The sequence below is a fragment of the Homo sapiens genome, chromosome 5, assembly GCF_000001405.40.
Source record: "Homo sapiens chromosome 5, GRCh38.p14 Primary Assembly".
Taxonomy (NCBI): Eukaryota; Metazoa; Chordata; class Mammalia; order Primates; family Hominidae; genus Homo; species Homo sapiens.
The window spans coordinates 134,396,077-134,414,611 of NC_000005.10; the positions used below are offsets into that span (position 1 = coordinate 134,396,077).

Here is an 18,535-nt window from a genome sequence, read left to right on the forward strand (position 1 = left end):
TTTGATAAACTAATCTGTAGGAAAAAGTTCCTATCTTAGTGCTTACACAGTTCTTTTTTCTTTTTTTGGTATAGACGGGGTCTTGCTACATTAATTCTTTGACTGGGGCTGGGTCTTCTTTTGCACAGGGCAGCTTGAGACTACAATCACCATGGCTTCCTCTCAAAACCAAGTCAGGGATTAGGCTGTAAGAATAACAATACAAGTACTAAAGACTGAAATTTTATTAAAGCCAAAGATTGAGAACTGGTTTCCGGACAGCTTCTAGCCATGCATTCATAGGCTGTGAGCAGGAGTCCTGTAGAATAACAGGAGACCTCTGGGGTCCAAGCTCTGAGCTTCTGGGCACATTTTAAATGGGTCTCACTTTATTGCCCAGTCTGGAATGCAGTCACATGATCACAGCTCACTACAGCCTGGAACCCTTGGACTCAAGCAGTTCCAACCTCAGCCTCCTGAGTAGTTGGGACTACAGGCACGTGCCACCTCAGCTAATTTTATTTATTTATCTTTTAGAGACAGGGTCTCGTATGTTGACCAGGCTAGACTCAAATTGCTGGGCTCAAGCAATCCTCGTGCCTCAGCCTCCTGAGTAGCTAGGATTACAGGCATGGGCCACCACTCCCGGCTTAAATAGCAGTTCTGTTTTTTGTTGAAAAAGTAGAAAATCATCATAAAACATAATTTGGTGAATACAAAAAGAAGGAATCTGAGTCACAGTCTTACCACCTGAGATGTTGAAAACAGCTGGTTTAAGGGGAATTGGGTTCTGTAGTGAGCTGGGGCCCAAAATTCACAGCCAGAGTGATAAGGAATGTAGCCACTTTGTAGGACAAAACTCCAGGACAGGGCGTGGTGGCTCACGCCTATAATCCCTGCACTTTGGGAGGATGAGGCTGGTGGATTACCTGAGGTCAGGAGTTTGAGACCAGCCTGGCCAACACGATGAAACCCCATCTCTACTAAAAAAAACAAAAAATTAGCTGGGCGTGGTGGCACCTGCCTGTAATTCCAGCTACTCAGGAGGCTGAGGCAGGAGAATCGCTTGAAACCAGGAGGCAGAGGTTGCAGTGAGCCAAGATCGCACCACTGAACTCCAGCCTGGGCACCAAGAGCAAAACTCCCATCTCAAAAAAACAAAAACAAACTCCAGGATAAGCCTCCTGCCACATAGCAAGTGCTGGAGCAAAGGCCATGCCCACAATGAAAGGCACATACCCACAGGCTGCACAAGCTCCAGACCTCCTAGATCCAGTGATACAGGGGTGACAAGGCACCTAGTATTGAGGTGCGGTTGCATGGGGGCAGGGTGCAGTGGTGACATGAGCTCTGGCCAAGGTTTGCCACCTGGTAACCCTTTCCCCTGGAGGTTTTGCTACTTCCCCCTACAGAACAACCTGACATTTTGGTTGGTGCTGCATTGTTCAGTGCCTGCCACCACTCATCAGTCAACGACATTTACCTAGTATCTAATGGGTGCCAGATTGCATGTTGGGCTGGGCACCACAAACTGAAAAGGTCCACTTCTGCAGCACTTTTGCAGGGATGGAGCCTGGTTGCGTGGAATGATTGTGGGCACCTGTTTTGTGTAAATCTTAGTTGAAAAGCTTTCCTATCTTCCGTCCTTGGGCTTAGAGGGAAACTAGGGCAGGAATGAAGCAGAGAGAGCCTACTAAGTGCCAGGTACTCATAGACATTCATTTTTCCACTGAATCCTCCAATAAAGTTTGAAGTAAGAATCATCCCCACTTTGCAAATGCCTACACTGAGGTAAAGTAACACTCAATTTGAAGGAATATCTACCAGCTCACACCTACTAGGGACAATTCAACATTCTTACTATGAGAGTGTCAGAGGGAATGGAAAATGCAGCCCTAGAAGGATGAGATTTTGGTGCCAACTTTCATAGCAAAACAAGAACTTTAGTCACTAGGCCCCCACAGCTCAAGGTTGACCTCTTTACTGTTCATTGCCTCTCTGTCATATTAGGTGAGGACCAAGACCTGTCTCAGACCCCTAACAGCAACATTCTCCAAGGCAAATGAGGCTGAAGGGGGCCACATTCAAGGATACTTTGGGTTCATTGGTTCATTAGTCTATGAGGCTGGGAAAGAAAGGACTTCGGTTAGGACCACTGGTTTATATTCTAAAGAGGCATCCCTGTTTGACACAACATCAAGGAAAAAAGCTCTCACTCTAGTGTAGGTAAGAATAGGGGCTAAATAGTGTCAATGTCACTCAATTTTTTTTCCTCTCCCCATCCTTCTTTTTGGAGACAAGGTCTCACTCAGTTGTCAGGCTGGAAGTACAGCGGCTCGGTCATGGCTCACTGCAACCTCAACCTCCTGTCCTCAAGCAATCCTCCCACCTCAGCCTCCCAAGTAGCTGGAACTACATACAGGTGTGCACCACCATGCCTATTTTTTTTTAATTGTTTTGTAGAGATGGGGTCTTACTATGTTACCTAGGCTGGTCTTGAACTCCTAGCAAGTGATCTTCCTACCTCCCAAAGTGCTGGGATTACAGGCATGGAGCCCCTGCACCCAGCCTCAATTTTTATTTTCTGTTCTTTGATTTCCAAGAAATCTGTTCAGATGATAGTCTTTTTACCCCACCTCCTCATTTGGTTCAGTGTGTGTTGATGAGCAGGGCTTCAGACCCACATCCATCACTGATAGGACCACATGCAGAGGACTCTGACCCTACTGCAGTCATTATGAAAACCTTCCAAACCAAAATAAGAAGGGTAGCCAACACCACCACCACCTAGCCCCAGGAGTCCTAACTTTAGAAAAGGCAGAGTGAGCTGTGCGCAGCATGCATCTGTAATCCCAGCCACTCCGGAGGCTGAGATGGGAAGATGGCTTGAGGCCAGAAGGTCAAGGCTGTAGTGTACTGTGACTGTACCTGTGAACAGCCACTGTACTCTAGCCTGGGCAACATACCAAGATCTTGTCTCTAAATTTAAAAGAAAGGGAAAAAAAAAAAAGAATAGGCAGAGTGAACTTTGGGGAAGAAACAATCTTGCCTGGCTTGCTTTTCATTACATATGTATATATATGTATGTATATACATACACATACACACACACACACGCAGATACACATACCCAATGACAGTAGAGATTTTTTTTAAGGGTGCACTCTTTGTTGAATGAAGTTTCCATATGACCAAAAGTCTTCAATAAGTTCTAAAACTCTTGCCTCTGAAGATCTGTGTTTACTCTTAATTCCTACAGAAAGGAATCCCTAAACTAGTTAAGAACGATAGCCATAACTAGATGTTATAGGGCACACAGGTCTCAGATACCAGAAGCTGACAGTCTCCTTCCAGACATAAAGGGATACCCAGCAGAGATTCTTTAGAGCTGGAGAGCTGGGAAACACCAAATTATCTGACATTTAGGGTAACACAATTCTCATTTTTTATATGGGACAGTATGTATTTTACTACAAACTACAAAGACTCAGAGGATGGACAGTGACAGTTAATATGATTCCTCTCATTGCCCATAGGTAGGCCACCGATCCAAATGGATCCTGAGTTCAGACAGAATCCTTACCTCCTGATAAGGTTGAGTGAGGATTATTAGGTGAGCCACAGACTAAGGAATGTTTCAGAAAGCAGTTTTCTAGGTGTAGTTTGGATTTACAAAAAAAAAAAAAAAAAAGTTCTCCAGGCCAGGCGTGGTGGCTCACACCTGTAATCCCAGCAATTTGGGAGGCCAAGGCAGGCAGATCACAAGGTCAAGATATCGAGACCATACTGGCCAACCAACATGGTGAAACCCTGTCTCTACTAAAAATACAAAAATTAACTGGGCATAGTGGCGCATGCCTGTAGTCCCAGCTACTCGGGAGGCTGAGGCAGGAGAGCTGCTTGAACCTGGGAGGCAGAGGTTGCAGTGAGCCGAAATAGCGCCACTGCACTTCAGCCCGTGCGACAGAGAGAGACTCCATCTTAAAAAAAAAAAAAAAAAAAAAAAGTTCTCCTCCTATTTATTACTTGTCCCTTCCTATGATCTCACTCTATCTTCACTCCAAGTCTTCAGCAAGACTGTATATGAACTATGTGATAGAAGGTACTGTTTCAAGGCTGACAGTGGGCCATTTTATCTATACCACAAGTATTGCTGAAATGCAAACATTTAGATTTCTTTGCCACTTTCTATTCCAGAAATAAAAGATGAAATTCTAAAATACTGGTTAATTTTATATGTGAGATAGCCACAGAAATTGTAAAAGATGAGAAGAAAAGCAGTTTAAGTGAGGAAACAATGAGAGAAAACCTATTAGAAAATTGAAACTTGATTTTGATTAACTAGGAAGTCTTCAAAAACAAACTAAAGGAGGCTGGGTTTAGTAGCTCCTGCCTGTATTCTTAGCACTTTGGGAGGAGGATCACCTGAGACCAGGAGTTTGAGGCTGCAGTGAGCTATGATTACACCACTGCACTCCAACCTGGGTGACAGAGTGAGAGACCCCGGCTCTGAAAAAACAAAAATAAATAAAAGCAATTGAAGGGAAGTCATTCCACAATTTAAACTTGCTTTATGCAGTGGATGCATTCCTGAAAGGCTATTATTATTTTATCAGGGCTTCATATCATATAAAGAAATGGAATTCACGATGACAAACCTATGGAAATGCATTTTCTTCTTCTCTTTTTTTCATAGCTTCCTACTCAAATTAGGAAAATGCATTTTCTTTTTTTCTTTTTTTTTTTTTTTTGAGATGGAGTTTCACTCTTGTTGCCCAGGCTGGAGTGCAATGGCGCGATCTCAGCTCACCACAACCTCCACCTCCCAGGTTCAAGCGATTCTCCTGCTTCAGCCTCCCTGGTAGCTGGGATTACAGGCACGTGCCACCATGCCTGGCTAATTTTGTATTTTTAGTAGAGACGGGGTTTCTCCATGTTGGTCAGGCTGGTCTCGAACTCCCAACATCAGGTGATCTGCCTGCCTCGGCCTCCCAAAGTGCTGGGATTACAGGCATGAGCCACCGCACCCGGCCTCTTTTTTTTAAAAAAAAAAAAAGACAAGAATCTTGCTCTGTCGCCCAGGCTGGAGTGCAGTGGTGCAATCTCGGCTCACTGCAGCCTCTGTCTCCTGGGTTCCAGCGAGTCTCCTGCCCCAGCCTCCTGGATAGCTGGGATTACAGGCACATGCCACCACACCCAGCTAATTTTTGTATTTTTAGTAGAGACAGAGTTTCACCATGTTGGCTGGGCTGGTCTCAAACTCCTGACCTTGTGATCTGACCACCTTGGACTCCCAAAGTGCTGGGATTACAGGTGTGAGCCACCACACCCGGCCTGCAGGGTCCAATGTCTCTTATTTGCCACTATCACTAGTACCAAGCACAGTGCCTACCACTGTTGAGTGACCCCTCCTGTAATAAACTTACACTACTGCCTCCCAAATGAAGCCCCTCTCCCAGTATTTATGCCTAGACCTATTTCCTTAATGGTGGGGACTAAACAAGAAAGAGGAGCAGAGAGGGGGTACAGAACAGACACTTAGCTGAGGAACATTAAGACCAAAATCACAGAGCAAAGCAGGACTGCAACAAGTATTTCTTAAGAGGCTATGTGCAAGGTGGCTCCTCAAGTCTAGAAGACCCAAGCCTCAGGCTTCCTCCAGAAAAGCAGTCTGGGAGACAGAATTTACAAATCAACTGGCTGACCGGACGAAGCCCCGGAATCCTGTGTCAATTCGTTTTAAACTAAGGCCAGATGCTTTTTGGTAGGCTGCCTCTTCCCGTGAGCTGGTGGGTACTTCAAGTCTATGATTTGATTCTCATTTCTTAAAAAAGGATGAGTATGTGTGGTAGTTGGGTATGGTATAGGTATGGTATAAATTTCAGGTGGAAATAGGAATTAAAGGATCTGATTTGCCTTGGTGGGGGAAGAAAAAGGCCATAAAAGAGAATCGCACTTAAAGGTACATTGTTGAAAAATCTAAACTATAAAATTAATTACCTGCCATTATTACATCAACAACAAAAAGGCATTTTATTTTATTATTTTTATTTTTTTTGAGACGGTGTTTCATTTTTGTCGCCCAGGATGGAGTGCAATGGTGCGATCTTGGCTCACTGCAACCTCCACCTCCCAGGTTCAAGCAGTTCTTCTGCTTCAGCCTCCTGAGTAGCTGGGATTACAGATGTCCGCCACCATGCCCAGCTAATTTTGTTTGTATTTTTAGTAGAGACGGGGTTTCATCGTGTTGGCCAGGCTGGTCTCAAACTCCTAACCTCAGGTGATCTGCTCACCTCGGCCTCCCAAAGTGCTGGGATTATTATGGGCATAAGCCACTGTGCCCAGCCCAAAAAGGCATTTTAAACAAAAATTCTGACGTTTAAAAACTGAAAATATATCGCGCCACTGCACTACTGCCTGGGCAACAGAGCAAGACTCTGTCTCAAAAAAACAAAACAAAAAACAAAAAACCCTGAAAATATGAGCCCAGGAGTTCGAGGCTGCAATGAGCCAATACTGCACCTTTGTGCTTCTGCCTGGGCGACAGAGTGAGACCTTGTCGATAAGAAAAAAAAAAACCTGAAAACAGAAAAGAGGGCTTTTACAATGTTGATGAACTCATCTTAGAGTGCATGATTTATAAATACATAAATATCCATGCATACTTTTACAGTGATAACTCCTGGGAAAATGAGAATGTTAAAAAAGCCAATCTAGACAGAGTCCTTCTCATTCCACCTGCCTCTTTATGTTGGTAATACCAGGAGTCTTAAGAGAGCTGCTGTGGTCTATGTCACATTCATCCCAGCCTCCTTTCTAATCCTGTAGCTGATGATGAAAATGTGATAAATCTTCTGGCTTAGCTTTGATGCTGGGAAAAAAAGAAAAGAAAAGGTTACATAACCATGTAGTCCAGTGAATCAAATTCATCTTCATAAATTAAAATATAGCAGTGATGTAATATTTATGTACTATCCAGACAGTAAGTATACTCAGAAATTATTAATATTTTACAACATACAGAAAATTCAGCAAAACATTGACCACAGCATCCATTTGGAAGCCAGAACTTGATTTTCCTGTCTTGTCACTTGCAATCTATAAATGTTCACAATTTAAAGTGATAATGGAAATGCTTAAAATACAACTTTTTCTGGCATGCTTTGCAGTGAAAGGTTCTAAAAGCAGAGTCACACAAACACTTATTGTTCTAAATTAAAAGCAGTCAGTTCAGGTAGTAATTCACAACATTTCACATTGAGTCAGGATATTTAGATGTGAAGGTTATATATTTCTGGATTTCACACTATTAGAAACTGTAAAAGCTTGTCTTCAAATAGTGGTGAAATGAAGCAGAGCTATTCTTTCTGGTTACTCTCTAGCACCTTTGGTAAATTTAAACTTGGCTTTAGACAACTTTTAAACAGGGTGTGAAAAAATCACTTTGGCTGTCACCTTGTATTTGAATGAATTTCCTTAACATTTAGCAGTGCAAGTGAATCAATCTGAGAGTCTTTTTAGTAATCAGAGATTTCAAGGTATGACCTATTTCCTAGTTAGACCAGTGAGTGCTTTTTCTTTTTATTTGAGACGGAGTCTCACTCTGTTACCCAGGCTGGAGTGCAGTGGCACGATCTTGGCTCACTGCAACCTCTGCTGCCTGGGTTCAAGCAATTCTCCTGCCTCAGCCTCCCGAGTAGCTGTGATTACAGGTACCTGCCACTGCGCCCGGCTAATTTTTGTAGTTTTTAGTAGAGATGGGGTTTCACCATTTTGGCCAGGCTGGTCTTGAACTCATGACCTCATGATCCACCCACCTCGGCCTCCCAAAGTGCTGGGATTAGAGGCGTGAGCCACTGTGCCCAGCCCCAGTCAGTCTTTTTCAGATGAAAAAACAAAATTCCTCAGCAAAAGCAAATTATAAGAAGACTTTCACCATTTAGGAGAATGCGGTATTACCTAAAGAAACCATCTTAAGTCCAAAGAGAAAAAAATCCCCTAAGCCATCTCTCAAATGACAGGACAGACCAAGGCTATGGAAGCGTACAGCTGCCGCCGGTTTGGGCTGCTGTGTATACCATCTTTTCCACAGGTGTTTGCAGGTGATACACTACTGACTCATAAGCTCCAGATAAGACTGGTCTGTGGGATCAGACACACCTTTTCTGGCTTCTATTTCTAGTGGATAAAGAGTAAAAGACAAGTAGCTCCAATGAGCGTTTATCTTGAGGTACAACTTAGACCTCTGATTTAACTAATCTGACAGGCTGATTTTTTTTAACTTTGGAGACAGGGTCTCACTCTGTCACCCAAGCTGGAGTGCAGTGGTACGATCATGGCTAACTGCAGCTTCAACCTCCCAGGCTCAAGTGATCCTCCCACCTCAGCCTCTCGAGTAGCTGGGACCACAGGCATGCGCAACTATGCCCAGGTAGTTTTTATTTTATTTTTTGTTGCAACAAAAGTCTCACTATGCTGCCCAGGCTGGTCTGGAACTCCTGGGCTCAAGCAATTCTCCCACCTCGGCTTCCCAAAGTGCTGGGATTACAGGCAGAGCCACTGGGCTAGGCTGATTTTTTTTTTTTTTTTAATACTCACCAACATTTGCACCATCTTAGAATCATGGCTGCTTCCACCAAGGGAGCGGCAGCTCTAGTACCTCAGAGCTTGCCAAGATGACACAATGCACAAAAGCAGGCACACTTGTTTTTCTAACTTTTCTTTCAAATTTCTTTTTCTTTCTTTTTTTTGAAACAGTCTCACTCCGTTGCCCAGGCTAGAGTACAGCGGTGCCATCTTGGCTCACTGCAACCTCCGCCTTCCAGGCTCAAGCGATTCTCTTGCCTCAGCCTCAAGAGTAACTGGGACTACAGGCAGGTACTACCACGCCCGGCTAATTTTTGTATTTTTAGTTGACGGGGTTTTGCCATGTTGGCCAGGCTGGTCTCAAACTCTCAACCTCAAATGATCCACCCACCTTAGCCTCCCCAAAGTGCTGGGATTATAGGCATGAGCCACTGCACCTGGCCTTTCAAATTTCATCGTCATTTTTCTTTTTTTTTTTTTTTGAGACGGAGTCCCGCTGTTTAGCCCAGGCCGGATTGCAGTGGCGCAATCTCGGCTCACTGCAAGCTCCGCCTCCCAGGTTCACGCCATTCTCCTGCCTCAGCCTCCCGAGTAGCTGGGACTACAGGCGCCCGCCACCGCGCCCGGCTAATTTTTTGTATTTTTAGTAGAGACGGGGTTTCACCGTGTTAGCCAAGATGGTCTCGATCTCCTGACCTTGTGATCCGCCCGCCTCGGCCTCCCAAAGTGCTGGGATTACAGGCGTGAGCCACCGCGCCCAGCCCATTTTTCTTTTTTTTAATTATTATTTTTTGAGACAGAGTCTCACTCTGTCGCCCAGGCTGGAGTGCAATGACACGATCTCGGCTCACTGCAACCTCCACCTCCCGGGTTCAAGTGATTCTCCTGCCTCAGCCTCTTGAGTAGCTGGGATTACAGGCACGTGCCACCATGCCCAGCTAATTTTTGTATTTTTAGCAGAGACGGGGTTTCACCATGTTGGTCAGACTGGTCTCAAACTCCTGACCTCGTGACCTGCCTGCCTCGGCCTCCCAAAGTGTTAGGATTACAGGCATGAGCCACCACGCCCAGCCTTCATAGTCACTTTTCATACTGCCATTTTCCCTCTTGGGATAAAAATGTTCTCAGAAAAAAATGGACCACGTAAATTAGGTTGACAGCTTCTTTCTTTGAGTCAATAATGATAGCTTCCTAGTCAATCACTCCTTTCTCCTTAAAACATTACCTTGGAAATATTAATTCTGACAGTCATAGCAATGACATCTTTCCTGAGTCAGCTGCTGCTCTTTGTTAATTATCGCTCATTAATTGGTAAGGTGAGCAACCACAAAGGCTGCCAGCAGTAGCCTAGGATGGCAGTTAGATAATCAAGATTGTTTACTCAATGTATGTGTGTTTGAATCCCCTTTCAAAAGAAAAAAAATCATATACTGCAACTGTCCAACAAATTCCACCTGTCAGAAACCAATGCTCATTTCTTTTCTCAGACTTAAAAAAAGAGCTGGACAGATTGCAGAGATCTACTTGCCTCAAAGCTGCAGAATAGCCATAAAGTATTTTTAAAATCTTAAAGAGCTTATGTCTCCAAATCATCATCACTGTCTGTCTTGAGATACCAACAATGCCAGGCAATTTACTTCCACTTGGTAGCTAGCTTTAAAACCCAACTAAACTCTAATTTTTTAGCTAAAGCATCAATTCTGGGCAGAACAACAACAGACGTTTTCAGGTGTATGGCTGGACATCAGGAGTATTTTGTCTATGGGCTGGCAATGTTGCCTAATGTTTTTCAGCATCCTCTGTCATGTGTGCAAAAACTGCAGGCAAAGGATGAAACTGCTGCAAAGTCCTCATGGCTCTCTTTCCAGTGGCATTCAATGGAGAGGGGACAGCCTTCAATACCACACAAATTTGTCATGGTACATAGATCAGATGACTCGTTCTCAGAATGGGCTTATCTGGAAGAGTCTTAAAGATTCACCAGGCACAGTGACTCACACCAGCACTTTGGGAGGCTGAGGCAGGTGGATCATTTGAGACCAGCCTGGGGAACATAGCAAAACCCAGTCTCTACAAAAATTAGCCAAGCATGGTGGTACACACCTGTAGTCCCAGCTACTGGGGAGGCTAAGGTGCAAGGATCACTTGAGCCTGGCAGGTCAAGGCTGCGGGTAGCCGTGAGCAAGCCACTGCACTCCAGCCTGAGCCACAGAGAGAGACCCCTGTCTGAAAACAAAACTGGCAAAACTCTATGCACCCTCTAAGTATCTCACTTTTCAGGATCAGCTGAATTTCACTTAGAGTGGCATCAACAGACTAAAGTTAAACCTGGCTACTTAGAAAAACATAAGTTTTATTTGAAGGAAGTTGCAACACACAATTCAAAAATGCTATAGAAGTATGGCCTCTATATAGGCTTCTTCCACATAGCTAACTGCTAATGATTAGTAAGATGGCGGCACTGGTTTCAAGAAGATAATTTCATGCCTGAGGACTCTTCTCTGTAGACTCACACTGTGCAATGACAGTGTCAAGAATGAACATCCCAGGGCAGGGGCTCTGTACATTTTTTAGGTATAAGACCCCTTTAGGATGTTTCAGAAAGACCCTTCCTAACACACACACACACACACACACACACACACACACACACACACTTCACACTGGTCTATAGATAATGTTTGGGACGTGCCAAACCTCCTTAGTCTCCTACTGGGGTCTGCAGCCCAATGTCATTAGGTGTTCTGATCTCTAATACCCAACATGACTGGAAAGAGTTCAGATACCTTTCAGAAAACATATAAGACAGAGAAGTATAATGGAGAACTGATATAAAAAATCAGAAAACCTTGCTGGGCACAGTGGCTAACGCATGTAATCCCAGCACTTTGGGAAGCTGAGGTGGGTGGATCACCTGAGGTCAGGAGTTCGAGAACAACTTGGCCAACATGGTGAAACCTCATCTCTACTAAAAAATACAAAAAATAGCCGCGCGTGGTGGCAGGCGCCTGTAATCCCAGCTTCTTGGGACGCTGAGGCAAGGGATCGCTTAAACTCGCGAGGCAGAGGTTGCAGTGAGCTGAACCATTGCACTCCAGCCTGGGCAACAAGAGCAAAACTCCATCTCAAAAAAAAAAAAAAAGGAAAATCAGAAAACCTCTTAGAAACAAAAAGGAAAGAATCTATCACAAGCAGTTAAAAAATAAAGGCTCGGCCAGGTGCAGTGGCTCACGCCTGTAATCCTAGCACTTTGGGAAGCTGGGCAGATCACTTGAGGCCAGGAGTTCAAGACCAGCCTGGACAACATGGCAAAACCCTTTCTCTACTAAAAATACAAAAATTAGCTGGGTATGGTGGCACCCGGCTGTAATCCCAGCTACTGGGGAGGCTGTGGCGCTAGAATCACTTGAGCCTGGGAGGCAGAGGTTGCAGTGAGCTGAGATCGTGCCACTGCACTCCAGCCTGGGTGACAAAGTGAGCCTCTATCTAAAAAATAAATTAAAAATAAAGGCTCACCTCATTCCCTGCCTACCTCTGCCCCTGCCCCTGCCCCATAAGGTATACTCCAGTAGCCAGAAACTATCTAGCTCCTCCCTGGCTGGGCCCCAAGAACCTTACTATAGAACACCCAAGGACTGCCCAGTATTTTTTTAAGTATTACATGAGAAGATCCAAAAAGCCACACACTCCCAATTCACACTGCTCCCTGGCTAAAAACAGTAGCCCCTTTTTAACAGCTGATTTTAGTCCTGGTGCGGTGGCTCACACCTGTAATCCCAGCACTTTGGGAGGCCGAGGCGGGCGGATCACGAGGTCAGGAGATCGAGACCATCCTGGCTAACACGGTGAAACCCCGTCTCTACTAAAAATACAAAAAAAAAAAAAAAAAAAAAATTGGCTGGGCGTGGTGGCAGGCGCCTGTAGTCCCAGCTACTCAGGAGGCTGAGGCAGGAGAATGGTGTGAACCTGGGAGGCAGAGCTTGCAGTGAGCCCAGATCGCACCACCTCACTCCAGCCTGGGCGACACAGGGAGACTCCCTCTCAAAAACAAACAAACAAACAAACAAAAACAAAAAAACAGCTGATTTTACTTACTGATTTTTTGTCAGGAGTACTGTGTTGAGGTAACAGCTGATTTTAAAACATAATAGCATCTCGAAAACCAACCTGAAGCTTTTCCCCAGGTTCAGATTAAAACTAAAAGAATACTTTTTTAAGAAAAACAAACCATCCTGAAAATCAAGTGGGGTGTACTATTTGGGACTGAAATACTTTATGAGCAACTGAGAATCTGATTAGTTCCTTGACACCCATATGGAAGAGGACCTCTATATGTGCCCCACCTCCCAAGACAAGACCTAAATGTGGAGGAATGGGCTTACCTATGTTTCTAAGGGCAGACCTAAAAAGGGGCCAGCAGCTTTTTACTCTACTGCTTCAGTCGATTTTATAAGTATTTTCTGAGTACCTTCTCTGGGGTATAAGTATACTAGGTTTGGGAGTTGTAAAGACTAAATAGAACTTTAGACACCATCTGTAAGGTCACAACTGCTTTAAAAGAGCCCTGGATAAAGTGCCAAAGGAACTTCAGAAGATAAGCGAGCAATTAATTCTGCTGCCTGAGCAGACAAATGTGAAACAAGCATGTTTTGGAGGTGATTCTGAAAAGTATTAATAGCTGGGATGCCCAGCTCCATATTCTGAGGTTCTTTCTGCCACATTCTGTAGCCCCAGCTCCAGTGTCCAGATTCAAGACTCTAGGCAAGACTCACTGTAAAAAGCCCATCGCCTGAGATCAGACCCCAAAGGGTAGAGAACAGCTATGCCATCGACATTGCTCCAGGCACGTTCTTATCAGCAAATCACAGAAGCCAAACAAGTCAGGTCGGCACTCACACCGGCACTCACACCTGGGGTAAGGATGAGTCTTACCAATGAGATTTTTTAACAAGTAGGAAACTTAAGTATTCTAGCCAACATCTTTTTAAACATCAAGCAAAAATCTCAAAACAATGTTCCTAAACAACCGGAAGAGGTTAAGCTTATGTGTTACCTCATCAACAATGCATAATTTACCACAGTGAGTTGTCAACTATTTATGAAAAGGCTTATACCAATTATGGGGAAATAAAAATGAAAGGGTATAGGTCTTTGGGGCAGTAAAGAGCATTCAAAAACAATATACTCTAATATAGTGTCATCAAGGCAGGGACTGTTAACTCTACACCATTTCATCACATGCACTTGGAAATCCTATTTACCTTTTTCATTAATTCACTTCTGGTAGTAAATTGTGGCAGGTCTTCCACTTCAATCCCATCGGCCATTTCCATCACCTTGTCTAAAAGGTCTTTATTGTAACTGCACAATAAAAAGTAGTAAGGTAAAAACCTTGGAACAATTGTCACTGTGGATTAATAAGAAACTGCAGGTTGCTCAACTATAAAATCAGCTCTCAGAGAACTGACCTGATACTGCAGGGCAAACCTATACATGTTCCCCACAAGGTTTTGAGATGGAGTCTTGCTCTGTCCCCCAGGTTGGAGTGCAGTGGTGTGATCTCGGCTCACTGCAACCTCCACCTCCCAGGTTCAAGCAATTCTCCTGCCTCAGCCTCCCGAGTAGCTGGGATTACAGGCGTGTGCCACCACGCCTGGCTAATTTTTTATTTTTAGTAGAGACAGGGTTTCACCATGTTGGCCAGGCTGGTCTCCAACTCCTGACCTCAAGTGATCCTCCTCCCAAAGTGCTAGGATTACTGGCGTGAGACACCGTGCCTGGCCCTGTGAACACTTCTTGCTTGTAGATACAGAAGTGGACTTCAGAAATACCAGTACAGCAGATGTTTCAAGATTTAGAAGAACAGAGGCACTGTACATCCAGCAACAGATATTCTCAGATACAGGATGAGGACCAAAATATTTTTATTTTTTAAATACATGGAATGTTAGTCTAACAAAAACATTATTTATTTCCCCAATTCTCTGACATTTGCCTAACCATGGAAAACCAGGATTTCCCAGGAGCACCTAGAAGGCAGGGAAAAGGGACGGGTGCCTCTGGCATTGCTTCCCTACGTACTGTTCTAATAAACCCCAATATGTGAAGCAAAACCAAGTGGCTTAGGCCTGCAGGGGCCAAATGACCAGAGTCAGGCAGCCATAATAGGTATAGAAACCAAGATCAAACCAAGTCACCCTATTTTCCTAACACAATTTCAGGAAAATCGAAGCTCTCTAATAGGGAGTCTCAAGATTTGCCACCTTCCTCATGGAGGGGTGAAAGGAATGCCTTATCAGGCACTTCAAAAGCGGGCCTTTGTCCTTTTGGTGCTGCAGCCAGGATGAAGTGGGCTTTGAGACCTTCACAAAAAGGCATCGGCCATTTTCATAAGAGGGAAAGCAGAGAGGTGAAGCTGGTTCCTACTTAGGACCCCGTGGGCTGTGGAGTGAGGAGAAAAAGCCATAGGATACAGATTACATCCTCTCATTAGTGATTAAAATCCATCAATCCTGCCAGAAGCTGCATGGCCCCAGGTATATCACTTCTCTCCCTAAGCTTTTTCATCTGTAAAATGGGGATCTCCGTTTCTCTCTCTGCACGTTTGCCATGTAGGTGACAGGGGCTAACGGACTTCGAATGCATACTGCAAAGGTGATGGTTTGAGCTAATAATAATAGTAATACAAATAACAATAGCAACCTTTGAACCCGCCATGTATTTAGCTCTTCACCCTTTAATTATTACAGCCATCATAACCACCCTTTTACCAGAAGAGAAAACTGAGGCTCAAAGATAAGGATCTTTCCAAGGGGCCTCCAGGGTGGGAATCAGTCTTCGGGCCGACCAATGCGGATGGAGGTTGGGCCCGGGTTCAGTCTGGGGCAGAGGTTCGGGTCAGGGGTGAGCCCTGGGAGAGGCCTTGAGGGTCGGAAGATAGGGGACAGGATCAGCCGGCCGGCAGGGGTCCGCACCTGCAGCCTAGGAAGAGATGGTTGGCCCAGACCATGGAGAGGGAGAGCAGCTGGTCCAGGCGGCCACTGCCGTCGGGCGGGTCGCGGTAGTCGGGCAGGTGGCGCAGGATGAATTCCATGCGGGCCTTCCATTGCTTCTCGCTCTCTGAGTAGGAGCGGAACTGCTCCGCGAAGTCGGCCGCCTGCCGCACCCCCGAAACCAGCTCCTCCACTGCGGCAGCCGCCTCGCCACCGACCATGGTGCCCGCCGCAGCCGAGGACCGGATAGCCCGCCGCCTTCCCGACGCGCACTGCGCCACCGCCTGCCGGCCAGAGGGGCCCCATCAGCGCACGACTGCTCCAGAAGACCAACCTGGAGCGCCCTCGCCCGGAGCGGCGGCCTGCGGGGGCACAGAGCGGCTCCTGGCTCCTCAGACCGCCGCAGCCCGTGGCTCCTGCCCTGGGTCTACCCAGGGCTACAAGGGTCTTTTGCGGTCGACCCTGCGGGGAACCGGTGGGAAAACTGAGGTCCCTAAACACAGATTCGGAGCGCCCTCTTCCAGTTGGCAGCTGGATGCCAGCCAGAGCTATGCTGTGCCCTTGCCCTGAGAGTTTCCCGGGCACCGCCTCATCCTGAGCGACATCAGGGGGCCCGGGTCACGGTCGACTTCCAGGGGTCTCCACAGCCACGAAGGTTGGGGCCCGCCTTCCTGGAGCGAGTAATCCATCCATCCCGTGAATACTTGCCAGGCACATTGCTAGGTGCTGGAGAGGCAATGAGAGCACATTCGGAGCCCTGCTCGCCTGAACTTTACCATGGAGTGGAGGAGTGGACATTAGTGACATAATTGCTCAAGTAAATGGAGAATTTCAGCGTTGACAAGTATTAGTAAAGAGAAGTTCAGCGTGCTACAACCATGAATAAGCAAGGGACCCAATCTAGTCTTGGGGTCAGGGAAGTGATCCTGGAGAAGTGAAGAATGAGCAGTTTTCTGAGTAAAGGGGAGTCGGTCAAAGCAAGAGAGAGCATGGCCTGGTAAGAGAATTGCAAGATAGGGGGTAGGAGGGGTTGGGGGGCGGGGCAGGGCAGGTAGAGAATGGAGAAGATGAAGTTGCAGAGGTCAGCAAGGCCAGTAGGCCAGGCAGGGATCCTGGCTAGATCCCAAGAATGGGGAGCCGCTGAAGGATTTTAACCAGAACAGTGACACCTGTGTTTACAAAAGATGCTGGAAGGAGCCAGAAACAATGTGTCCAGAGGAAATGAGCAAGTTTGGACTTGGTTTTAAATAGAGACAGGGTTTCGCCATGTTGCCCAGGCTGGTCTCGAACTCCTGAGCTCAAGTGATCCGTCTCCCTCAGCCTCCCAAAATGCTGGGATTACAGGTATGAGCCATCGTAACTGGCTGGACCTGAAAGTTTTTATTTAGCTGGCATGACTCTGCTGTCTGTTCGAGTCTCAGGTAGCAGACACACTGAGAGAAAAAAGAGCTTCCTTTTAAGTGGTGAATTTTCCATCCCTGGAAGCATTCAACTACAGTAACTGGGTGTTGGGGCTCAGAAACCAACACCCCAAAATGTATTTTGACATGCTGAACTGATGAAGAAGCCTCAAGGTCTCTGTGACCTCCGCCACCAACACACACTCCTGTCTGTCAATTCTTTGTTCCTCCCAAAGCACAAGATGAAGTTGTTCCCTTATCTGCCTAAATTTAGTCCAGAACGCCAAAGGAAACAATTATCTCTGGTTCCCTCCCTGAGTTTTCATTAAGTGAATTTGTTTTGCAGGAGGAAAGACTGAAGTATGGTCAACACACTAGGACAGACTTTTGTCACAAACCCTTGTCTCCTCTGCAGGCCCAACAGACTTTGTCCCAGGCCATTGCATGTTCTTCAAGCCCATTGAATTACCCTAAAAATCATTTACTACCCATCTAAAATATTCACACTCTGGATGATGGGGTAATCACTCTGTGATTAACTATGCACATTAATAAACTTGTATGTCTTTTCTCTTTTTTTTTTTTTTTTGAGAGCAAATTTCACTCTTTTTGCCCAGGCTGGAGTGCAATGGTGTGATCTCTGCTCACCGCAACTTCTGCCTCCCAGGTTCAAGTGATTCTCCTGCCTCAGCCTCCTGAGTAGCTGGGATTACAGGCACCTGACATCACGCCCGGCTAATTTTGTATCTTTAGTAGAAACGGGGTTTCACCATGTTGACCAGGCTGGTCTCGAACCCCTGATCTCAGGTGGTCCAAGCTCCTCGGCCTCCCAAAATGATGGGATTATAGGCGTGAGCCACAGTGCCTGGCTGCCTTTTCTCCTCTTAATCTGCCTTTTGTCAATTGATTTTCACTAACCTTCAGAGAGCAAAGGAAAGTTTTCCCTTCACACAAAGAGTCACTTGAGCCTTCACCAGCTTTGAGAGATTATTGACCTAATAGGCTTCCCCATTGCCCCCAGTCAAATGTGAGGTTGGGGTACAGAGGTGAGCCTAGAATCCACGATCTAGGGCTCCAGTGCAGGTCCTGTATTGTGAGTGTGGCCTGTGGGGAGAGCTGATTACATCCTGTCTGCTGCTTCTGCAGCTTCTTTTGGGGCATCAGGGTCCCCAGAAATCAGAGACTCAACAAAGCATGGAAATACAGGGCAGTCCGCATAGAATGAACCTGAAGACCCAGCACCAAGCTCAGTGATATGGCATAATGGTTAACAACAGGGAGGCATGATATTCATGCAAATGTGGGCAAGCAAAGTGTCAACAGGCCTGTGAGACCAAAGACAGAGTTAGCTACTCCCAGCAATCAGGAATTGGTGCACAGACCTAAAAGTCCCAAAAGTGAGTGCAGATCCCACGTCCTGAGAGGCTCGTTAAAATGACAGACTCCCCCAGGCTCACCATTGGATGTTCAGATTCAAGGCCCCAGGTAATTCTGCTTCCACCTGCCGCTGACCAAACTTAGAAAAACTCAAAGTTAGACTGGGAGTGGTGGCTCATGCCTGCAATCCCAGCACTTTGG

General features: G+C 45.8%; 1 protein-coding gene across 1 annotated transcript, besides 4 other annotated features; it reads right to left on the reverse strand.

The window, feature by feature from the left end:
* Window positions 1–5,988: 5,988 nt before the first annotated feature.
* CDKN2AIPNL (CDKN2A interacting protein N-terminal like) lies at window positions 5,989–15,805 on the reverse strand. The gene is made up of 3 exons (NM_080656.3): window positions 15,540–15,805; window positions 13,827–13,926; window positions 5,989–6,850 (listed from the first exon to the last, which is right to left on the reverse strand). Exons 1-3 carry the CDS (start codon window positions 15,776–15,778, stop codon window positions 6,839–6,841), a joined length of 351 nt encoding a protein of 116 aa, NP_542387.1. The 5' UTR covers window positions 15,779–15,805; the 3' UTR covers window positions 5,989–6,838.
* Window positions 15,197–15,935: an enhancer, noted in NCBI's record as "H3K27ac-H3K4me1 hESC enhancer chr5:133746964-133747702 (GRCh37/hg19 assembly coordinates)". NCBI's record gives its function as "activates a minimal SCP1, AML or CMV promoter by ChIP-STARR-seq in naive H9 embryonic stem cells {active_cell/tissue: H9 hESC(naive)}" and the evidence as "EXISTENCE:reporter gene assay evidence [ECO:0000049][PMID:30033119]".
* Window positions 15,197–15,948: a biological region, named in NCBI's record as "H3K27ac-H3K4me1 hESC enhancer GRCh37_chr5:133746964-133747702".
* Window positions 15,459–15,948: an enhancer, noted in NCBI's record as "active region_23144". NCBI's record gives its function as "activates an Ori minimal core promoter by ATAC-STARR-seq in GM12878 lymphoblastoid cells {active_cell/tissue: GM12878}" and the evidence as "EXISTENCE:reporter gene assay evidence [ECO:0000049][PMID:35858748]".
* Window positions 15,936–16,673: an enhancer, noted in NCBI's record as "H3K27ac-H3K4me1 hESC enhancer chr5:133747703-133748440 (GRCh37/hg19 assembly coordinates)". NCBI's record gives its function as "activates a minimal SCP1, AML or CMV promoter by ChIP-STARR-seq in naive H9 embryonic stem cells {active_cell/tissue: H9 hESC(naive)}" and the evidence as "EXISTENCE:reporter gene assay evidence [ECO:0000049][PMID:30033119]".

Excerpts from the sequence above, each read along its gene's own strand:
- CDKN2AIPNL (NM_080656.3), bottom strand. The coding sequence starts at position 15,778 with ATGGTCGGTGGCGAGGCGGCTGCCGCAGTGGAGGAGCTGGTTTCGGGG. Across the intron at positions 13,927-15,539 it reads CATCTCTTCCTAGGCTGCAG|TTACAATAAAGACCTTTTAG; the intron begins GTGCGGACCCCT and ends TTTATTGTGCAG.